The sequence below is a fragment of the Homo sapiens genome, chromosome 18, assembly GCF_000001405.40.
Source record: "Homo sapiens chromosome 18, GRCh38.p14 Primary Assembly".
In the NCBI taxonomy this organism is placed as follows: Eukaryota; Metazoa; Chordata; class Mammalia; order Primates; family Hominidae; genus Homo; species Homo sapiens.
The window spans coordinates 54317252-54340964 of record NC_000018.10 but is presented as its reverse complement, the minus strand read 5'-3'; the positions used below and the strand labels follow the sequence as shown (position 1 = coordinate 54340964).

Here is a 23713-nt window from a genome sequence, read left to right as displayed (position 1 = left end):
ATTAGATGAATATACGTTTATAGTTATTACATCTTCCTAACAGGTTAACCCTTTTATCATTGTAATATATCCCTCTTTATCTCTGCTAATAGTTTTTATCTTAAAGTCTACTTTATTTGATACCAGTAAAGCCACCTCAGCTCACTATGGTTCCATTTACAGGGTGTATCTTTTTCAAGCCTTTTACATTCACCTATATGTATCTTTGAATTTAAAGCGTATCTTTTATAGACAGCAAGCATATAGTTGGAACTTGTTTGGGGTTAAAAGAAATACTGTCGACAATCTCTACCTTCTGATTGGCTTGTTTAATCCAGTCACACCTAATGTTACTGTTATATGGTTGTATTTATGTCTGCCGTATTCAGTCACACCTAATGTTATTGTTATATGGTTGTATTTATGTCTGTCATTTTTCCTGTATTTTAAAAATTTATTTTGTTTTCTGTATGTCTCATGGCTATTTTGTTCCTCTGTTCTTTTACTATCTTCTTTTGTATTAAGTAGGTTTTGTCAAGTGTATCATCTTTAATTCCTTTAATAATTTTTTGAACTACATTTTTTGGTTATTTTCTTAGTGATAACTATAGGGGCTACAATATATTTTAATTCATCAGAATCTACTGCAGATGTATACAAACTTAATTCCAGTAAGATATAAAAGCTTTACTTCTATATGGTTCCAGTCCCTTCCCCAACATTTTGTGCTGTTTTTTGTTGCACATATTATGTCTATATATGTTACAAATCAAATACCATATTGTTATAATTATTGCTTTATATAGTATCTTTTAAAGAACTTAATAGGAGAATACAAACATACTTCAAGATATTTCTATCTTACCCATCTAAATACACATATATATCCGTAAGAATACATCTATATAGAAATATAGCTTTAGAAATATATTCTTTCTTATTTACCATTTCTGGTTCTCTTCATTGGTTTCTGTGGATTTGAGTTACTATCTGCTGTTATTTTTTTTATTCACATATAGCTTTATTTCCATCCCCCTCTGTTGTGTTTATTGTCAATTATATGTATACATTTTATAAGCCCAATAAAATGTTATATTGTTTTAGGAAATTGACTTTAATCAGTTAATAGAAGAAAGGGGAAGAAATATGTAATTATACTGTATTGTAACATTAGCTACATACTATTGTTACTGTAACTCTTTATTTGTAAGGATTTGACTTACTATTTTGTGTCTCTTCCTTTTGCCTGAAGAACTTCCCTTTAGCATTTTTTGTAAGGCAGGACTACTACCAATAAATTCTCTGTTTTTATTTATCTCAGAATGTCTTTGTTTAACCTTTATTTTTGAAAGATAACTTAGCTGGATATAGAATTCTTTTTTGGTAGCTTTTTTTCTTCAGCTCTTCAAACGTCATTTACTTCCTTCTGGCCTCCATTGTTTCTAATGGCATGCCAGCTGTCAGTCTTATTATGGTTCTCTTCTATGTAATGCCTTTTTTTTTTTTAACTGCTTTCAAGACTTTATTTTTATTTTCATGTTCAGAATTTTGACTATGATATATCTGGAAGTGGATGTTTTTCCACCTATACTACTTAGAATTCAATGAACTTCTTGAATGTAGTATTTTCCTACAAATTTGTAGAAATTTTACTCATTATTTTATTTCTATATTTTTTTGCATATTTTTCTTTTTCTCTATCCTTTCTTGTTTTGAGAGACGGGTCTCACTCTCTTATCCAGGCTGGAGTGCAGTGTCAGTTCTTTCCTTCTGGTACTCTCAAAATGTGTATATTGATGTGTTTAATGGCATATCACATTTCTCTGAGGCACTGTTTATTTTTCTACCTTTTTTTTTTCCTGCTTTCGTTAGTTCTTTGAACATATTTACAATCATTGCTTTGAGTTTTTTTTTTTTTTTTTTTTTTTTTTTTTTTTTTTTGATGGAGTCTCACTCTGTCGCCAGGCTGGAGTGCAGTGGCACGATCTCGGCTCACTGCAACCTCCGCCTCCTGGGTTCAAGCGATTCTCCTGCCTCAGCCTCCCAAGTAGCTGGGATGACAGGCACATGCCACCACGCCCAGCTAATTCTTGTATTTTTAGTAGAGACGGGGTTTCACCATGTTGGCCAAGTTGGTCTCGATCTCTTGACCTCGTGATCTGCCTGCCTCGGCCTCCCAAAGTGCTGTGATTACAGGAGTGAGCCACTGCGCCCGTCCAAATTTTTTACATGATAATTCCAACATCTTTATATGATAAGGCCTCCTAAAATGTAGTTTCTCCTGCTTGCTGTTTTTCCTAAGTATAAATCATACTTTTCATGTTTCTTTGCATGACTCGCAGTTTTTTTTTTAAAACAACGTTTTAGGTAAAATAGTGTAGCAACTCTGGATACTGACTCCATCCACCCATCCTGGGTTTGTGGTTATTTGTTTGGTCATTTGTTCATCTGTTTGGTGATTTGGCTGGACTAATTCTGTGAAGTCTATTTCCCCCGAGTCTGTAGCCTCTGATATCTCTGCTCTGACTTTTTACTTGCGGTTATCTTTTAGCCTGGCCTCCTATGGATCACTCCTTGGTCAACATAAGCCATTTTGTGGTAATTTTTACCCTCTACTGTCAAATATGTATGTGGATTGAAGACCGCTTTTGTAATTCAGGGAGTTTTGTGGTTTTGCTCTGGATTTAGCCAGGGACTGGTAGCTTGGAAGTTTTGTCACCAGTCACTCCTCAGAGGGTGCAGCCTTCAGCATACACAGTCTTCCAGACCCAGCTATGAGTATATTTTATTTTAAAGTGGATAGAATATATTATTTTCCAGTCAGTGATGCATTACAGGTTGTACTATACTTTTGTCCCTGAGTCAGTAAGGCATCAGCTCTTTGCTAATCAATCTGAATGTGGCTTGGGAAATACTTACAAGTCTGCACTACATCTTGCTCTGACTGGTACTGAGTAGGCAGAGCCGGTGCATAAACACAGCCTTCCAGACCCCAGAGATGAGTGTGCTCGTAGTGGGCCACTTTAGCTGTATGTTTCCCTGCTTCTCTCTGTTAAACTTCTGGCTGGTCGTCTTTGTTTCTTTGTTGCTATTAGTTTTATGCAGCTATTGGCCTTCTAATTGTTCACCAACAAAAAATAATTTCTGCCTTACAGCCATATAACTGTAATTTGTACTTTTCTTACCTTTACAAAGTGACTGGAAAATGCAAGATTAGCCACTGAATGGATACCCTAAGCCAGGGGTTGGCAAAGTTTTTCAGTAGAGGGACAGACAGTAAATACTTTAGGCTTTGCAACTCATTTGGTCTCTTGCAACTACTCAATTCTGTCATTATAGCACAAGAGCACCCAGAGCTAACACATAAATGAATGAGTGTGGCTATGTTTCAATAAAACATTACAGTTGACCCTTGAACAATGTGGGAGTTAGGGGTGCCAACCCACCGTACAGTCAAAAATCCCATTATAAGTTTTGACTCCCCAAAAACTTAATTACTAATAGCCTACTTATAGAAAAATGAATTTTGAAATAATGTATTTATTGCAGTGCATATTTAAATAAACCTTGCTACTTCCAATTGAATATTAATATATTGAATTGCTGATAGTACCTTCAAGTTTTCTTCATTGCTGTTTGCTAAATTAGCCTACCTTTATGCTTTGATAGTATTATATTTTCAGCTTAGACTAAACTTTTTAAGCTTTGAATTTTCTTTATTTTGTTAACTGTAGATATCGTGTTGAAGGGATAATTCCAGAATCACCAGCTAAACTATCTGATTTCCTCTACCAAACTGGAGACAGAATTACATGGGATAAATCATTGCAAGTGTATAATATGGTACACAGGATTGATTCGGTAATTTGTTGTTTAATACTGGACTTCTAGAACATTAATATATTTTTAGTTTATACCTTAGTGAGTTGATTAAAACTATGTTATGTAGACACAGTATTTTATAGTTTCAAATTGACTTGAAGTCTTTATAAAAGCTTTAAAACTTCCCTACTTTCCAACAGTTTAATTCCAATTAGCTTTATGCTACTTGTAAATGCATATTACATTTTGAATCTGGTAAGCTCTCCTGCAATGTGTGCCATTTGTTATAAAGGAACAGAACTCAGGGATTCACCTCCATTACATGGAAAACAAAGGTTAAGTATGCCTTATTGATGGGAAGTCTGTAGACTTATTTTAGTCATATTACATCAGATATTAGGAAACTTACAATCATGGCAGAAGGCGAAGGGGAAGTAAGCACATTTTACCATGGCAGAGCAGGAGAGAGAGGGAGCAAAGGGGGAGATGCCACACATTTTTAAACCATCAGACCTCGTGAGAACTCACTCACTATCATGAGAACAGGAACAATGCAGACATATACCATAAGGACTTAAAGAACGAACGGCATATAATGTTTAAGAGTAGGTGTATGAGTCCGCCGGCTATGAAGAAATACCCAAGACTGGGTAATTTATAAAGGAAAGAGGTTTAATTGACACACAGTTCCGCATTGGTGGGGAGGTCTCAGGAAACTTATAATCATGGTAGAAGGCAAAGGAGAAGCAGGCACCTTCTTCACTGGGCAGCAGGAGAACAGCATGCGGGAAACCACCCCCATGATCCAATTATCTCCACCTGGTCCTGCCCTTGACATGTGGGGATTACAATTCAAGGTGGGATTTGGGTGGGGACACAGAGCCAAACCACATCAGTAAAGTTAAAGTAAGGAAATAACATTATATAGAAGGTTGAAGTTTAGGAACACTTTCAAATACATTATCTCAGTTAAATAGATATAAAGAGAGAGAATAAAAACAAAGAGAAAACAAAAATGTAATTGGAGTAGAAAGTTGAGAGAAGGGAGAATGTGAGAGGCAAGTATGGTTTACAGAGAAACAGAAGAAAGGATCAGTATGAGGTAAGGGCAGAATGAAAGCTCAGGAGGAGAAAAAATGAATGAAATGACAGGAATAATGATACATGGTGAAAAGAGGTTGCATTAGTCTGTTTTCACACTGCTCTAAAGAACTACCTGAGACTGGGTAATTTATGAAGAAAAAAGGTTTAATTGACTCACAGTTCTATAGGCTTCACAGGAAGCATGACTCGGAGGCCTCAGGAAATTTACAGTCATGGCAGAAGGTGAAGGGGAACACCTTGGCATGAGGTAACAGGTAACTCTTCTGTTACCATGGCAGAACAGGAGAGAGGGAACTAAGGGGGAGATACCACACACTTTTAAACCATCAGATCTCATGAGAACTCACTCACTATCATGAGAACAGCAATTGGGAAGTCTGCCCCATGATCGAATCACCAGGCTGATCCTCCAATTCAACATCATATTTGGGCAGGGACACAAATTCAAACCATATCACAAGTAGAAACAAGGATGAAGAAGTGGGATAAGTGATTCCAAACTTTGGTCCAGCACACTATAGATATCTCATTTATGTATTAAGGCCATGATAAAAATAACCACCTGGGGCTGAGCGCGGTGGCTCACACCTGTAATCCCAGAACTTTGGGAGGCAGAGGCGGGTGGATCACCTGAGGTCAGGAGTTTGAGACCAGCCTAGCTAATATGGTGACCGCGATTCTACTAAAAATACAAAAAATTAGCCAGGCGTGGTTGCATGCGCCTGTGACCCCAGCTACTCGGGAGGCTGAGGCAGGAGAATCACTTGAACCAAGGAGGCGGAGGTTGCAGTGAGCCAGGATCATGCCGTCGCACTCCAGCTTGGGCAACAAGAGTGAAACTCCATCTCAAAAATAAATAAATAAATAAATAAATAAATAAATAAATAAATAACCACCTGGAGGGATGGGGGGATGATTCTCCTCTCTTCCATTAATGTATTAAAATTCATTCTCCATTCCAGTTGTTTGTGTTTTCTCCATCTTAGGAAATCTGTTTTGGGGGGAATCCTGACTTTGTTCCATACTCTTCCAGACTGATGTTTATGTTCTTTTGACTAATTAATTCACTTGACAAATATTTCACAAAATACTTCACACTTCACAAATACTTTTTGAGCAACTATTGTGAACTCCATACTGTTTCAGTTCACTAGGGACACATAAGGGAAGAAGACAGAAATTGTCCCTGCTTTCACAAAACTTACGTTCTCATCAGAAGAGACATAATAAACAAATAAACAGTTTTTTAAAACTTACCAGATAATGAAGGCTAGGACTGGTAAGAATAAGTGTTATGTAGGATAATAGTATAGGCAATAACCAGGAGAAGCTAATTTATAGCTAGAGAACTGGGAAAGGCCTCTCTGAGTGAGACACATTAGAAACCTGGGTAACAAAATGGAGGTTAGGGAGACAGACAAGCAAAGATCTGGGAGAGAGTAGCAGACACAGGGTAAAGCAAATGCAAAGGCCTTGAGGTAGAAAGAGTTTGGCAGTGTTTAGTCAAGAGATAAACAAAGTCTGTGGGGTTTGACCATAAAAAGCAAGGAGAAGAGTGGTTAAGAGGTGAGAGGTTAGGCTGGGATCAGATTCTGCAAGAGTCTCAAAGGTCAGGGGGAGAAGTTTTGCTCTACGTTCAGTGGGAAGCCATTGGTGTGTTTTAAGCAGGGAAGTGACTGATTTGATTTACACTTTTAAGAGACAGCTGCTGAAAGGAGCATGGATTATAAGGAGGTAAGAAAGAAATCAGCAAAAACAGTTATGAGGCTACGAAATCAGCAAAAAGTTATGAGGCTATGAGAGTAATCTAAATGAGACATTATGGTGGCTTGTGCAAGGGTGGTAGACGTGGAGAGGGAGGTAAGTCAGGGAACCCAAAGATATATAGAGTCAATAGGGCTTACTGATGCAGGGAGAGAGGAATCAGATAAGTCTTCTAAAACTGGATTGTGATGAAATTGCACAAATAAAGTTCCTTTGGGAAATTCATTGAACTACATACTTAAAATAGGTGAATTCATGGTATGTATATTATACTCAATAAGCTGTTTTTAAAAATGAGTCCTAGATTTTTGGCTAATAATAACTTTATTTAAAAGAGATGAGAATGTGAATGATGGAATAAAACTAATTTTTATGATTTTCACAAATGATTGCATTTGTAAAATTTCAGATCACTAGGCCTTTAGTTCTTTAAGTCTCCAACCTGCATTTCATTTATCAAAGCAAACAAAAATAAGTAAATAAATAAATAAACATCCCACATATCTGCCATCATATTATCATTTATTTAGAACTCTGTAATTTTACCTACTTTTATTAAACTCATCTTAAAATCTAGGAGAGAAGAGTTATAGAAAAGCCCATGAAGGTAAATCTGTTTCATCTTGTAGAAAGTCCTTGATCTTCATCTTGTAAATCAGTTTTATTTTGTAGAGAGGAAGTTCCTATCCACAGAAAACACATGTCCATGATCTTCTTGGGATTTGAACATTCAGTTTGAGAACCACTGGGCATCACAAATGAAAATCCAAAAATTTAACTATTTCATTCATCTTTGTATGATACTAATCATACAGTTTGATTAGCACTTCAGATATTTCTTTTTTTGAGACAGAGTCTCGCTCTGTCACCCCAGGCTGGAGTGCAGTGGCACAATCTCGGCTCACTGCAAGCTCCGCCTCCCAGGTTCACGCCATTCTCCTGCCTCAGCCTCCCAAGTAGCTGGGACTACAGGTGCCCGCCACCACGCCCGGCTAATTTTTTGTATTTTTAGTAGAGACAGAGTTTCACCGTGTTAGCCAGGATAGTCTCGATCTCCTGAACTTGTGATCAGCCTGCCTCGGCCTCCCAAAGTGCTGGGATTACAGGCGTGAGCCACCGCACCCAGCCCAGAAATTTCTATTGTTGTTGCAAGTCATATGTTATAATAGAAAGAATACTAGACGTGACATCCAAAAACCTGAAAACAAATTCAGAGAGATTATATGACTTATTCAAGGATGATGCAGCCAATATGTGATAGAACCAGGACTCGTACCTGGTCTCCTAATTCTAAATTAGAATTATTTTCCCTTTTTGTAAAGATTTGTAGTATTCATCTCCAGGAGTATGTTTTATTTACTTATTTATTTTTATAATTATTATTCTTTTTAGAGATAGGGTCTCACTCTCTTGCCCAGGCTAGAGTGCAGTGTTGTGATCAAAGCTCACTCTAGCCTCAAACTCTTGGGCTCAAGTGATCATCCTACTTCAGCCTCCCAAGTAGCTGGAATTACAGGCATGTGCCACCATGCCTGGTCAAGGATGTGTCTTAACTGCCTCCTCTTCAACCTACTGGTGAGGGAGAGATTCCCACTCTAGGGTTATGGGGATGGCCAAACACATAATACCCACCAATGGACAAGTGAGGTAGACTGAAGTTTATTAATCATTAATCACAGACCAAGGAGGGAGAACAAACTATGCCACACAGGGCAACATGGGAACAGGGTGAACACCTAGGGGCTGTGGGAGGTAGCCTTTGTGTCAACAGGGTAGGGTGAGCCCCAGTTCCTGTAGAAGAATGTGATTGACTTGTTTGAATGATTCCATGGGCCACCAGGGAACTGAAACCGCTCAACAGGGATAAATAGTAACTGTGCTGGTCCTGTTGAGAAGGAGGGTTGTTTGGCTAGGGGATCTTATCTGCAGGAATGAAGAGGGAAAGGAATGTGCAGTTAGGCCATTCAAGACCCTCCTGGTTTCACCCTATGCTGGTTTTACCAGCATACAACATTGGTCTTTAATGTTAGACCTTACACCACAGGGTGCTAAATCAATGTATTTTTCAGAATATATTACTTAGCCTATGTGGAGTAGTAGAAATAGTACTGTATGGGGAATCAGGAAACCTGGGTTCTATTTCTGTACTTATCTCTAGATGTGAATGTGATTTAATCTGTTAGGCTTCAATTTCTCCATCTAAAAATTGAAAGAGTAGATGATATCAAGATTGCTTCTTGAATTTTCTACACTCGTAGATTTAATGCTCCTTTAACACTCAAAATCCAAGCTGATTTGGTGACGAGATCTTAAAATTTCAAAGCCCTGCTTTTTCCAAATAGAGGCCAATCATATGCAATAAAATTTGGGGGGGAAACAATACAAAGAATAGATATTAAGTAACGTTTGTTATCTTTACGGTTTGATTTGTTGCAGGACACATTCATATGTCATACCATTACACAAAGTTTTGCCGTGGGCTCCATTTCCCCTCGAGACTTTATCGACTTAGTGTACATCAAGCGCTACGAAGGAAATATGAACATTATCAGTTGTAAGTTGAAACATTTTGCCCATATCTTGGAATTACTGCGAGCCATTAATAAATGTTTTCCCTTTATTCACAGCTTCAAAGAAATTATATTTTAATTATTTCCTTTTTAAATTTACTTAGTGGGATCAACAATTAGACGTATCATGTAGATATGCCTAGTGACACTCTGAAGGTGCCATTTATATAATGGTCAATATTTGCAACATCTCTTAGACTTTTGCAGCATATATCCTGTAGCACTGAGTATAGATAGATACTTGTAGCCTAAAACTTTGGGTATACATTTTTTAAATCCTAAGAAACAAAATTAATTGTCAGATATAATTTTATATTTGAATTGCTTATAATGCACATATCCAGTAACTGATAAAACTGTTAAAGAAATTTCCACTAGATGGCTCTTTACATAAATGTGCTTTTATTTCTTTTAGAAACTGCCGGTTTTGATGTATCCCTATCCCCACTCCCAAATATGTCATTCTGTAAAATGCAAATGTGTAATCATTTTCTAACTTGCATTATTGATGAGAACATACCATTTCATACCATACAGATCTATGGACTCAGATAACTTAAGATAACTCATGGTGAAGGAACTTGGGTATCACAGTGGCATAGAGCCCGTTTTTCTCTATAATTTGAATTAATTTCACCATTTCTACTTGGCACCAGGGACAACTACGTTTCGTTAATTATTATTTCCCAACAAGATTTCAGTTCCTCCGAGATATCTTTAGTACTCTACATTTCAGAGTTCAGACTAAGTCATAGCACTCATTCAAACCCAGTTAGCTCTTTCTGCAGCATACCACTAAGGGCTGATGTTCATAATGTTCATATATGTTTCGTTGTCTCATTTTTGAAATGAGGGCACATATAATGTATTCACTGCCTACAACATAAAATAGTTTGTCTGAACAGATCATAGATCTGTTATTTTCCACATTTTGAAAGCAGACCATTTCTATATAATTATTAGTGATCAGAGGGAAGCTAAAAAAAGAAGTAGAGGTTAAAATCAACAACTAGAGGTAATCAACCACGTGGTGCACAAATCACTACTCAATTTGCTTTTAAAAGTTTCCATTGAATGAATTTTCAATCAGTACTCATAGTTTTCTTAACATTTCTTTTTTTTTATCCTGCCCTGCACCTTGCTTTAAGCTAAATATTTTGCTTGCATTATCTCACTAGTGAGGAAACTGAAGTTCATGGAAATTAAGCAGTTAAGAAAGTAAGTTACATAGCTAATAAGTAGGTAACCCAGAATTAAAACTCAGATCTTTCTGATTTTCCAAAATAAGTGCTAACTACCACACCATATGCTTCATAAAAGACCCATACCTGTTTGTAGACTACAACAGATTTTTTTAAAGAAGACAAGCATAATTTCCATATTTCAAACAGGGAAAAAATCTTTTATAATAAGATCACTCTGGCAGTACTATTATAGGCTCTGTTAAGATAATGATATAAGTCATAAAAATGGAAAATTCATTCAACAACTCTAGTCTCCTTAGTGTTTTACATTGTATTTCCCATGGAATTGATTTGCTTTATGTTAAAATCATATCAGAAAATCCATCTTCTCTGACAAGAGCAGGATTCAGTTGCACAGAATAAACAAATATATCTTTTAAAATAGTTTTAGAAGAGTATATATATTATCATAAATGAAATCATAAACCACCCCCCTCTGCATTCACATAGAATACAGACACTAGGTTGCATAATTCTAAAATAAACTCTATTGATTTTTAGTTAGAGTTTGAAGTTAGCTACAGGGAATTGCAGAAGGAAGCATTTTAAAGTACCTTTACTGACAGACCATCTAACTACTTTGAATATTTTATTTAAAAAAAAAAACATGATTAACACAAAAATCTATGAACCCAGGACCCTAGCAGAATAGTATTCACCCAAAGCCAGTTAACAGTTTTCACTCAAACCCAGTGAGATTTAAGTTAGTTATCAGCATTAACTATTTTCTGAGATTTGAGCTATCTTTTGCTTCAAATCTCAGAAAATAGTTCAATGATACTTTTAACCATTTTTCTTGTATACAGAAGTTGACAGCATCTTTAGAAATAACTAGCAGGAAAAAGTTCAAGAGGACAATAGTGTTGATACTGGTATTTTCTCAATTTTGGCTTCACATGTGCAAATACACATTCACATATATAAAACTAATGTTAATGCTATTAACTAACTTAAATGCTATATGTTTCTAAAAATATGCTGCTGGAAATAGTTTTTCCTCTTTGTGAATAGGTTTCATTTTAATTTTTTAAAATCTCTTAGCTAAAAGTGTGGATTTTCCAGAATATCCTCCATCTTCAAATTATATCCGCGGTTATAACCATCCTTGTGGCTTTGTATGTTCACCAATGGAAGAGTAAGTGTTGTTTGCACTTATTTATTTTAACAGGTTTTTTTAGTTCAACTTGTGATTTAGTTTAAGATTGCTGGCTCATCAGTAGAAATATGTAGCAGCATATTCTGTTGCGGGAAAAAAACTTCCCCTAAATATGATTTTTAAAATAACTTCTTATAATCGTTTTCATTTTAAGTATAATCAGAATGGATACTTCCCTATAAAGTATGATCTGAGGTTTCTGAGAACAGTCAAACACACACAAACATTTCCCAGCAGTTAAGCTTCCTTGATGTTTTCTATTTCTCCATTAGAGTCATTTCTGTAAATTATTAAGGAACTTTTGTGAATTAAAAATAAACTTTCCTAGAATTATAGCACACTTAACATTTATCAGTAATGAATGTTTTACTTTGAATGAATTCTTCCCAATGGACTACCTACTAAGAGCAGATACCTGCAAAATGAGATCCAGTAGGTACATTCAGATAAAAAGAAAAGCCGAAGAAATCAGAGATGAGTCACTGCCTAAAGGTGGCCTTGGGATAAAATGGCAGCATAAAATATACTTATTTTGTAAAAGCATATACTCAAATTCAATGTATATCATTTCACAAGTTCCTTAAATTTTAATGTTTGCTAAATGATTTTTTATTAAGTAAAAGATATTGGCACGTGATAACAGATGTATTGGTCAGATATAAATGTCTCAGTACAAAAAAAAAAATGTATGTGAAGGAAGCCCAAATGAAATTAAATTTTGGACCTGTATTCCTTAACATTTCCTCTACTGAACTGGAAAACTAAAAAACCTCACAATTATTCATGTTAATGTATACGATTGTTGATGCAGATAATAATAATAACAATGTATGGTCTTTCTACCCATTTGTCAATTTTGAATCTATGGCCAAGACTTTATTCTCCATAGCAGGAGAAAACAAAACAAATGAAGGGTAATTACTCCAATTCAGCAAGGTAAATCAACTGCTGGCATGGACTAGAGTTGGAAAATTACACAGCTTAAAGTGTGCTTCACAGGCCAAGTCCCCTTCTTGCACCTTGTCAATGTAGAAGTGCACTCCAGTAAATATTAGAAAGGCTTTCTCATGTGTGTAAAGCCATTGTAAACACAAATAAAGATTTAAGACCATACAAACTACTAGTAAGGACAGTAGTTCCCCCATTTATCCATGGAGATACGTTCCATGACCCCAAGTAAATGCCTAAACCCATGGATAGTACCAAACCCTATGTATACACCATGGTTTTTTTAATCTCATAATCAAGAGGGCTACTAAGTGACTAACGGGTGGGTGGCCTATACAGCCTGAATACACTGGTAAAGGGATGATTTCACATCCTGGGTGGGACAGAGCAGGACGGTGTAAGATTTCATCACATTACTCAGAACAATGTACAATTAAAAGCTTATGAATTTTTCTTATTTCTGGAACAGGTTGACCTTGGATAAATGAAACTGCAGAAAGTGAAACAGAGTATAAGAGGGAACTACTCTGTTCTCGGTGTAGCCATTTGAGGCACTGTAAAAATAGTATAAACCCTGCATAGAGAAAAGTATAAGAAAATGGACGCTCACACTATTTGTTGGAAGGGTAGTCTCCCTTGAAAATTTTATAAAACTATATTCTCTCTTGCACATTTTTAAGTTGACATTAAAATTTTTCATAGGGATTACATTGATGAAAAGTAAATTACGTTGATGAAAAGTACAATTCCCAGCATGCGCTAAACATTGACATTTTTTAAAAAGCGGTTATACCATCCTTATAAACGTATCCAGTAGATTATAAATACCATAACTTGAAACCCACCATTAAATTATTCATTTCAAAATAAATACAACTTTTAACAGTCAGAAACTTTACATCATTCCTTTCCTCCTTGAACTCACATTTTTATTTTTCCCTCATATAATTTTATTCTAATAGAATATATTTTATGCTTTGAATTTTTTCGTAGTCATCCTAATTCTCTGTAAAAATGACATGTGTTTAAAGTTTTAAAATGTGTTTTATTTCCTATAACCATACTATCTAACAATTAAAAATATATATATGCCTTCTGGATTAAGTTGTTATCATTATATATTGATCAAAATTAAAAATGTTTGTATACAAATATTAAACATAATGCAAACTGTTATTAGAAACACATATTTTATTATTAGCAAAACTGAAATAGCACTTACTATGTGCTAGGCACTATTATAAACAATTTGTATATATTGACTCATTTGATCTTCAAAGTAACCCCATAAAGTAGGTAGTGTGACTATGCCCAATGGGCAGGAAAGAAAGTGGAAGCCCAAAGAGATTAACTATCTGAAGGTTACATATAGGTAATAGCAAAGCTCAGTTTCAAATCAAGGCAGACTAGTTCCTGAGTCCACGCTTTTAACCATTACACTCATTTCATTTAACTGTGGGTGTATATTACTGAAAAATAAGACAGCATTCAATATCAAGTCTACTACTGCTTTCATTTTAAGAAAATCAAAGAAAATTTATTAACATAAATGTGTTGAAATGGAGAGAGTATAATTCCAGCACTGTCATTCAATTAATTTTTGATTTAATAATAAATAAAAATAAAATTTGAGAATTATATAAAAATATTTTTTATTTTATTTTTATATAAAAAATTTATGAATTATATACCATAAATTATGTAGTAACCTATCATCAAAAAATGTTTATCATTAAAAAAAGACCTGGCCAAGCACAGTGGCTCACACCTGTAATCCCAGCACTTTGGGAGGCTGAGGCGGGTGGATCACCTGAGGTCAGGAGTTCGAGATCAGCCTGGCCAACATGGTGAAACCCCATCTCTACCAAAAATACAAAAATTAGCCAGGCATGGTGGCACAGGCCTGTAGTCCCAGCTACTCGGGAGGCTGAAGCAGGAGAATCGTTTGAACCCGGGAGGCGGGGCTTGCAGTGATCCCAGATCACTCCACGGCACTCCAGCCTGGGTGACAGAGTGAGACCCCGTCTCAAAAGAAAAAAAAAAAAAAAAAAGACCTGTCAGCTGACAACTCAATTAGATCCTTAAGTTTTACTGAAAAAAAAAAATGGCATGACTTGGAAAAGAATTTTTTCTCAACTAGCCACTAATCAGATTTTCCCTTTAGCATCTCAAAGATTTTTATATACCAAGGTAAAGCACCATAGTACCACTTAGTGTGGATAACAGGTATGCCTTTGTTGCATAAAGCAAGAGAAGGGCGATTTTGAACAGGCTGATAGGAAAGAAAAAGCCCACATCTCCAACAGAGACATATTTACAGATCTGATTACGGAAAAAATGCATATGGAAGTTAGAGATTGGAAAATTTATTCTCTTAAAAGTATTCACCCTTTCTGACCCCAGTGTGAAGATCAATGGGCTAGAATATAAAATACCACTTAGAGTGCAGTTTGGAATTAATGTGTCAAAAACCTTAATGCACAAACCTTTGACCTAGAAATTATAAGTATTTATAAAAGTGTAAATGGGGCTGGGTGAGGTGGGTCACACCTGTAATCCCAGCATTTTGGGAGGCCGAAGTGGGAGGATCGCTTGAGGCAAGGAGCTTGAGACTGGCCTTGGCAACATAATGAGACCCTGTCTCTTTAAAAAAATTTTAAAATCTAGCCAGGCATGATTGGGCACACCTGTAATCGCAGCCACTCAGAAGACTGAGGCTGGAGAATCGCTTAAATTCAGGAGTTCGAGGCTGCAGTGAACTAGAATCACGTCACTGCACTCCAGCCTGGGCAACAGAGTAAGACCCTGTCTCAAAAAAAAAAAGCATAAATGGATACATTACAAAGATATTTTATTGCAGCTTTACTTACAGTAGCCAAAAGTGAGAAACAACCTAAATGATAGTCAATAAAAGGACTGTTAAATAGAAAATGAAATACTGTCTGTAGCCATGAAAAACAGTTAAGTAGATTGTATGTACAGACACAGAAGGAAGTTCATAGTGTCCTATTAAGATAAAAATAAAACTAGTTGCAGAAAAATATCTCCATTAAAAAATAAAACTATATTTATATATGTGGGGAACATATTCATTTATGTACAAATGTATGCTGTTTTTGTGTATATATATAGAGAGAGAGAAAGATAGTCACGCGAAAATATAACAATTAAAACTGTAAACAGTGATTATCTCTGGGAAACAGGATAAGGGAAATGAGGGAGGGAAAATTTTCTTTAATTATGAAAAATTTATATTGTTTAAATTTTCATAATAAGCATACATTACTGTTAGAATTTTTTAAAGTCAATAAAATGACAAAAAGGAAATGGTGCCTAAAACTCAAGATTTTAAGAAATATTCTAGCCACTTAATATTTTTAAGTACAATTTTTAAGTATGTCAACGGTGAATAAGATAAGAATCCTGCTCTCCAAAAACCTGTAAAGTCAGTAGTTAAATCTAAAAATTTCTTATCTTTTTTTAACTCTTCTTTTGCTTACAGAAACCCAGCATATTCCAAACTAGTGATGTTTGTCCAGACAGAAATGAGAGGAAAATTGTCCCCATCAATAATTGAAAAAACCATGCCTTCCAACTTAGTAAACTTCATCCTCAATGCAAAAGATGGAATAAAGGCACACAGAACTCCATCAAGACGTGGATTTCATCATAATAGTCATTCATGATACCAAAAGAAGAAATGAGGCCGTTCTGCTATAAAATCATGTGTAGTAGTTATTGCTGTTTACTTCTAAGTCAACGCACATAAATAATACTGTTAAACTATTCTAGACAGTATTCTTGTACACATGGCTGAAGATAGTTCATAAAAATAAGAACTCATAGTTGTACAAGAATATGGCATTAAATACCGTTTTTAATCTCACGTAAGAATGATGTTAAATAAGTGTTATTAGTATATTTTTATCTTTTGCTTTTGTCCCTGTAAAATCCTCTGTATAAGGACCAATAAGAAAGCAGATACAGTCAGAGGTCAGCATTAACTAAAAGTTAAAATACATTTTAAATTGTTTTTCTTTCACTTACTGCTTAAACTGACAATTGTAGGAAACATGAACATAAAAATTGAAAAGAATTCCACTAAAATGTATGACCAATGACATTTAGAATTTTAAATGCAATGAGTCATCAAACAATTTCTGGTGTGGCCAAGATGCAATAGCCCATTCCTCCCAAGTCTTTCCTCTTAAAACTTAAAGACCCTGCACATAACACAATAAACAAGCATAGGAAAACTCAAGCATAGGTGGAAAGAATGCAGCAAGCTATCTATGGACGTCGGGACTTAAGGAATGACATTCAGTGAGTTCTCTGGGTTTCCTTATTGCCTCCCACATATCCCAGGTGGGAAAGAAACACACACACATGCACACACACACACACACACACACAACTGCATGCATGAAAAGCCTTCTCCTCCTAGTCATAGGACCAGGTGCCTAACAGAACAAAACACTTTTTTATAATGCCTACCCTACACCAGCCAAGCATCAACCTACAAACCACCCCCATGGTTTCAGTGTGGCAGAGCAAGGAGACACTTTTCTATCCTACCCACCCCTGTCCCACAGAAGCAGATGGTGGTGCCCTGACACACCCCTATCCCATGGTGTCTACAAAGCTGAGCAGGGAGCTAATCTCCCATCTTCTACCTGGCAGATGCAGACAGCACTGATTGCCCTTCCAGGTGATGTAGACTGACCAAGCAGGGAGCTGATTTCTATCTTCCACTCAGCAGAAGCAGGAGGTAACATAGGCAGTATGAGTGAAGTCCAGAGACAAAGACAGCTTCCACCTCCAGCTGGCAGCAATGAGACTTAACCAATGTCTTAGTCCATTTTCTGGGGCTATAACAATACCACAGGTTGTATAAATTATAAAGAAAAGAAGTTTATTTAGTTCACAATTCTGGAGACTGAGAAGTCCAAGAGTGTGGTACCGACACCTGGTGAGGGCCTTCTTGCTACATCATAACATGGTGGAGGGTATCACATGACACGAGGGTAACAGCAAGAGAGAGCTCACTTTTATAACAAAGCCACTTCTGTGATAATAACATTAATCCATTCATAAAAGCAGAGGGACATTCAACCCATAGCAGCTAGGTAGTGCAAAGAAAGGCTAGTGACCAGGGAGCTTCACTACCCTCTCCCACCCCTACTCTTACCCCTGGAGTCATCAAGGCCCAGCAGGATGCTAAGCCTCCATCCCCACCCTGCATCAGGGTGTAGTGGGAACAGTGACCCACCAAAAAAATGTCCATGTCACATCCCTGGAACTTGTGAATCTGACCTAATTTGGAAAAAGAGTCTTTGCAAAGATAATTAAAGACCTCAAGATGAGATCACCCTGGATTATCCTGGTGGCCCTAAATCCAAAAACAAATGTCCTTATAAGAGATACATAGAGGATAGAGACACGTAGAAGAGGAGAAAGCCATGTGAAGACAGAGGTAGAGACTGGAGTTTTACAGCCACAGCCCAGGAACACTTGGAGCCACCAGAAGCTGGAAGAAGTGAAAAAGGATTCTCCCCTAGAGCTTTCAGAGGCAGTGTGGCCCTGCTCTCAGACTTCTGGCCTCCAGAGTTATGAGACAACAAATTTGTCTTTTTAAGCCACTAAATTTGTGGAACTTTGTTATAGTTGCCAAAGGAAACTAATATACCCTCTCTGGTGTTAGCAGGGTTCAGCAGGGATCTGAGCCTCCATTCCCACCTGGGTATCAACAAGGTGAAACAAAGAGGTAGGACACGGGCCTACGCAGCACTCCACTTCCTTGTCACCTCCCCTGTGTCATCAGGTTCCACTGGGGAGGTAAGCTTCCAGTCCCACTGGAAAGCAAAAAGGATGTGCAAATCAGTGCCCCACCTTTGCCAGGAGGATGTCAGCAGGGCCAGAAGGGGAGCTGAGCTGCCACCTCACCCATCTGCAATGAGAGGCAGTCTGTGCTCTACTTTTGCCAGAGTGGTGATGGCAGGGCCCAATGGAAGGCTGAACCAACACATCCACCCAGTCCTTATACTACACCTGAACAGCAGGACTGCCTGCTAAAAATGAAGATTAAATAGGATCCAGAGGTCTTCAGAAAGGAAAGAACACTGTAATGGGTAAAAATAAAGTGTTCTCATGAGTATATTAAATCACATTTGATGGGCGACAAAGGTTTAAAAACAATTCAGTGGAACAGCATTTCAGCAAATGGTGTTGGAGCAGCTGAACATTCATAGGCCTTGATCTAACCTTACACTAAGTATGAAAATTTACTTAAAATGGAATATGGAGTTACATGCAAAATATAAAACTATAAAATATTTAGAAGAAAAACACAGGATAAAGTTTTCAGAACCTACAACTAGGCAGAGTTATTACACTTGACACCAAAAGCATGATTCTTAAAAGAAAAAATGATAAATTGACCTTATCAAAGTTAAAAAAATGTATGCTATGTGAAAAACCTGTGAGGAGGATGGAAAGATAAGTGACAGACTGGAAAAAAAATATTTGCAAGACATTTCCAACAAAGTACTTGTAACTAAAATACATAAAGAGCTTTCAAAACTCAACTGTGTAAGAAACAATCTAATTAGGGACAAAGACATGGACATTTCACTAAGATACCCATATATCAAAAGATGTTCAGCATCATTGGCTATTAGGTAAGGGTACATATCAGTACAAGCTTACCAGAATAGCTAAATTTTTTTTTAAATAGTGATAACATCAGGTGTTGGCAAGGATTTGGAGAAAGTGGATCACTCAGACATTGCACCTGGAAATGTGAAACAGTAACTGCCTCTCTTGAAAAGTGCGGCAGTGTTTTGCAAATCAAACAAATACTTACTGTACAACCCAGCAATTGTACTCTTCATCCCATAGAAATGAAAGCATTTACACAAAAACATGTACACAAATGTTGATAGTAGCTTTATTCCAAATAGCCAAAAACTGGAAACAACCCACATGGGTGAATAGCTAAACTGGTAATCCATACACGGAATACTACCAAGTAATGAAAAGGAACAAACTATTGATGCACACAACAACTGGAATTGTCTCAGAGGAATAATACTGAATGAAAAAGCCAATCTCATAAGGTTAAATAGTGGATTCTTCCATTTATTTAACATTTTTGAAATGACAAAATGATAAAGATGAACAGAATTAGTGGTTTCTGGGGTTAGGGAGGTGGGGGAGGAGCAGAAAGAAAGTGGCTTTCGCTTTGAAAGGGTGGCAGGAGGGATCCTTGTGATAAACCTGTTCTGTGTGTTGACTGTGGCGTGGTCACATGAATCTATACACACAATAAAACTGCATAGAATTAACACACATGCATAAATGAGTGCATGTAAAACTGGTAGTATCTAAATAATGGCAGCGGGTAGTATCAATGTCATTTTCCTAGTTGTGATACAGTACTGTAGGTATGCAAGATATTACCATGGGGAGAAACTGGATAAAGGGAATATGGTATTATTATTATGTATTATTATTTTTCAAAACTGCATGCAAATCTACAATTATCTCAAAATAAGTTTAAAAAAAAAAATAGAAAAGCCTATCCAAGCCAAAAAAGAATGTCATTAAAAACTATATCATAATCGATAGCATTTGTTTTTCATTTATCTACCATATCACTCATTATTTACCAATATATAGTTAATGTGTTTACGTTATTAATATTTGTTTGACATTACACTTTACAAGCAATTTCCTTAGTAAAGATTTTGTAATCTCACTCTATGGATTGGAATGATTGTTAAAGAATATTAATATTTAGCCCCAGCAAAAAGCCTACTTTTATTCAAAAATATTATGTATCAAATCTAAAAAAGCACACACCCTTTTGGAATTGTGGCTTGAACAGCTCTGATGCTTCATAGAAAAATATTGTCAAAATTCAAGTGTAGGAACATACAGAAATACCATTCTCCTTAAGAATAATTAGGTCTTTTCATGGCACTCACTTGAAACTCCTTTAGTAAAACTCCTTTAGTGTTTAGTAAAAACACCCTCTAGCTTCACAAGTTTGTCTTCCAGCCTTCTTTGCATGAGAGAGGATGCACAGAAATCTGGGGACTGGAGACCTGTGGGAAGAAGAAGGGCACAGTGGGGGAGAAGCTGGAAGGCACATAAAAAACCACTACTATTTAAAAGAGGAGCAAAACTAAAGGGAGACTGTCTTCTGTTCCTAACTCTCTTCCTAAATCTACTGGGATTCTGAGTGTTATTTTCCCTTTTCTACTGAATGTTCGGGAGACATAATTAAAGATGTAGTTATACTATGATTTAGAATATGCCTAATTTTGTGAGTATGCAATTTTTACTATTTTCCAATTTAGACTTTACTCTTAGAAGAATGTGAGACTTTCAGCCACCCCTAAACTTCATAAACATACAAATCACCAAATTACACATTTTAATAAAATACATATCCCAAGAAAGATAAAAATCTTGAAATCAGAAAGCCAAACATAAGTTTTTTCTTTGTCTTACAAATAGGAAAATTGGATATTTAATTAACTTGTCTCCTATTTAAGGTAAAATGTAAATAATAATAGCAAACAAATTAAAAGGAAATAATACCAGGTACTGCATGTTTGATTCCTTCTCCTTGCCCTGTCATCATCTCCATATATTATGGTATTTTGTCACTTCGATTACTTCTAAATAGCTAGGTATTGCAGAAGGTACCATATATAATAATAACAATCCCACAAAACGGAAAGGTTTAAAGGTAAGTAATACTGGTATCCAAACAATATGACAAATAAAAATAATTTAACAATTCTGAACTTAGATTTTTCTATAAATCTTATCTTTCTTACCATATAACTCCTCTAATACTTTCAGATATTCAGACATTACTGGACTTACCAAAACAAAAATGTTTATATTTAACTAAATATAAATAGTCATAGTCTTATCGAGAAATTATCAAGACTATTTATGCCCCATGCCCCATGTCCCTTTTCAATGTCCCTTCTCTACCATGGTTTTGGACACATAATACTAATGAATCAGAACTGTGGTTTCCATAGAGGGGAGTGCAACATTATTATATCAGTTAAGAAAACGTTGGCTGCAAACAACAAAAATATGATTTATAGAGGACATAAATGTTGAGAGGTTTATTGATCTCACACAAGAAGTCTGGGAGTCTGCAGTAGAGATCTGATATGATGGCCTAATAATGTCATTAGGGACCAAGGCTCTTTACAGCACTCAGCTCTGCCATACTTAGCTTATAGCATTTGTCTTTCTGGTGGCATTGTCCCAATGTTCTAAGCAGGAAGAAAAAGAGTGAAAGGCAAAAGATATTTTAGCTGAGTTTAGCCCTATTTCATAGCTTTCTTGGGAACCCCAAGAAAGATGCTTACATCTCATTAGCCAGAAATGGAACACTGTTCACACCTGGCTGCAAAGGCATCTGGAAAGGTATTCCAGTATCTATAGTAAAAAAGCAAAGAAGCTCCACCAGAGTGCAGAAATAAAATAGCACAACTTATATTTATATTTATTTTTTTAGAAAATTAAGCTTTACTAATACAGAATATGCAGCTTGACTCTGGTGCCTCACCTAGCCATTCATGAGCATAAAAGATATTCTGAGAAATAAGGATGAGTTCCACAGTGTGGAAGGTTTGAAATTGGTTGTTGGCTTTCAGTATATTTTGACAAATTATGTTTTATAGGGGTACAGTTAAGCAGATATACTTTTAATGAAAAAAATCATCAGAAAATTGTGAATTGGTTTAAAAGATTTCTACAAAGAAATTAAGGATTGAAAATACTAATAATACAAACATGAACGCAGCTGAAATTTTACTAATATGAGATCTTTGCAATATTAAAAGTAAACGACAATATAGTTTAGATCTCATAAGCTAGCAAAAAATAGAAATTATCAAGACTATTTGAAATATGAAATTATATCTAATGTCAATGAAAACGAACTTCACCAGAAATATCTTTCATATATTGAGATGTTATCCAATGACAGTGGTTCATGTTTACACTTTTAAAATAAGTAAAAATAGATGTACATTGAATTAAAAGCACACTTTGGACAAAGAGCTGAGTATTTAAATCAGTATTTGGTCAAACTAAACCCAGCTCCTATTATTACTACTATCTTAGAATAAACTACGATATAAAGATAAATCTGAAATTTTATCCAAAAATATTTATTACAACTTTGTTTTTAAAAATAGTCAACATTTTAAAATTTGTCATTAGAGTACAAAAAAAACCTCTCAGAACTGTGAGCTAGCTTCAAGGCATATACTATATTGCACGAATTCAATATTATAAAACACCCAGGTTCAAGTGGTATGCATAATTATATTACTAATTTTTTTGGACATTAAATCTTAGAATAGGTTTTAAGTTATATGATTTTCAGAATCAACTTTGATTTAGGATTAATAGCTTTGGCGAATCTAAAAAATTCTTAATCTTCAACTACCAAAGACAGCAATTTATAATAAATCCTTTTTGTTTATTAAAGCCTGTCGCCCAGGCTTGAGTGCAGTGGTATGATCATAGCTCACTGCAGCTTTGACCTCCTGGGCTTAAGGGATCCTCTTGCCTCACCCTCCCAAGTAGCTGGGACTACAGGCATATGCCACCACACTGGGTTAATTTTTTTTAATTTTTGTAAAGACAGGGTCTTGCTGTATTGCCTAGGCTGGTCTCCCAACTCCTAGCCTCAAGCAATTCTCCTGCTTCAGCCTCCCAAAGCACTGGGATTACAAACATAAGCTACTGCATCCAGCCCAATAAATAATTTTAATACGTTCTGCTTTAAAATTTATCCACCACTTAAAGATTATTTTGGGACTCAATTCGTCAGAACAAAATTAGTTTGTTTTTCACTAACACTTTTTTGCTAACACTTTCTTAATATACTTCATTTTTTTCTAATAATGAAGTTGCTTTATTGTGCATATTACTGTACACACTTGTATGAATATCAACTGCCACAATTATGTGTAACAGACAATCACAAAATCTCAGTGACATACAAATCTAACTTTATCTCTTAAGTCTGAGCTCACTCACATGCCTGGCAATTGGCTGTGGGTTATCTGAGAAAGGATGAGGTG

The 23713-nt window shown here is 35.9% G+C and overlaps 2 protein-coding genes across 9 annotated transcripts in view; one reads left to right on the top strand and one right to left on the bottom strand.

The window, feature by feature from the left end:
- The window catches only part of STARD6 (StAR related lipid transfer domain containing 6), a 33367-nt gene extending 16894 nt beyond the window's left edge, over nucleotides 1-16473 (top strand). For 3 of the 6 annotated variants that reach the window (NM_139171.2, XM_047437300.1, NM_001394379.1), the window contains 4 exons: nucleotides 3714-3840; nucleotides 9106-9223; nucleotides 11525-11618; nucleotides 16090-16473. In NM_139171.2, the coding sequence (NP_631910.1) occupies nucleotides 3714-3840; nucleotides 9106-9223; nucleotides 11525-11618; nucleotides 16090-16273 (523 nt within the window). In that variant the 3' untranslated portion in view covers nucleotides 16274-16473. The remainder of the gene's footprint in view (nucleotides 1-3713; nucleotides 3841-9105; nucleotides 9224-11524; nucleotides 11619-16089) is intronic. The other 3 variants (NM_001371101.1, NM_001371102.1, NR_138549.2) reach the window with 2 other exon arrangements.
- A 3225-nt stretch (nucleotides 16474-19698) lies between these two features.
- Nucleotides 19699-23713, bottom strand: part of POLI (DNA polymerase iota) — a 51788-nt gene continuing 47773 nt past the window's right edge. For 2 of the 3 annotated variants that reach the window (NR_147257.1, NM_001351621.1), the window contains one exon: nucleotides 19699-20692. Coding sequence is in view for 2 of the 3 variants with exons in the window: in NM_001351621.1 (NP_001338550.1) it covers nucleotides 20598-20692 (95 nt within the window). In the remaining variant the exon portion in view is untranslated. The remainder of the gene's footprint in view (nucleotides 20693-23713) is intronic. The other variant, XM_011525797.2, reaches the window with a different exon arrangement.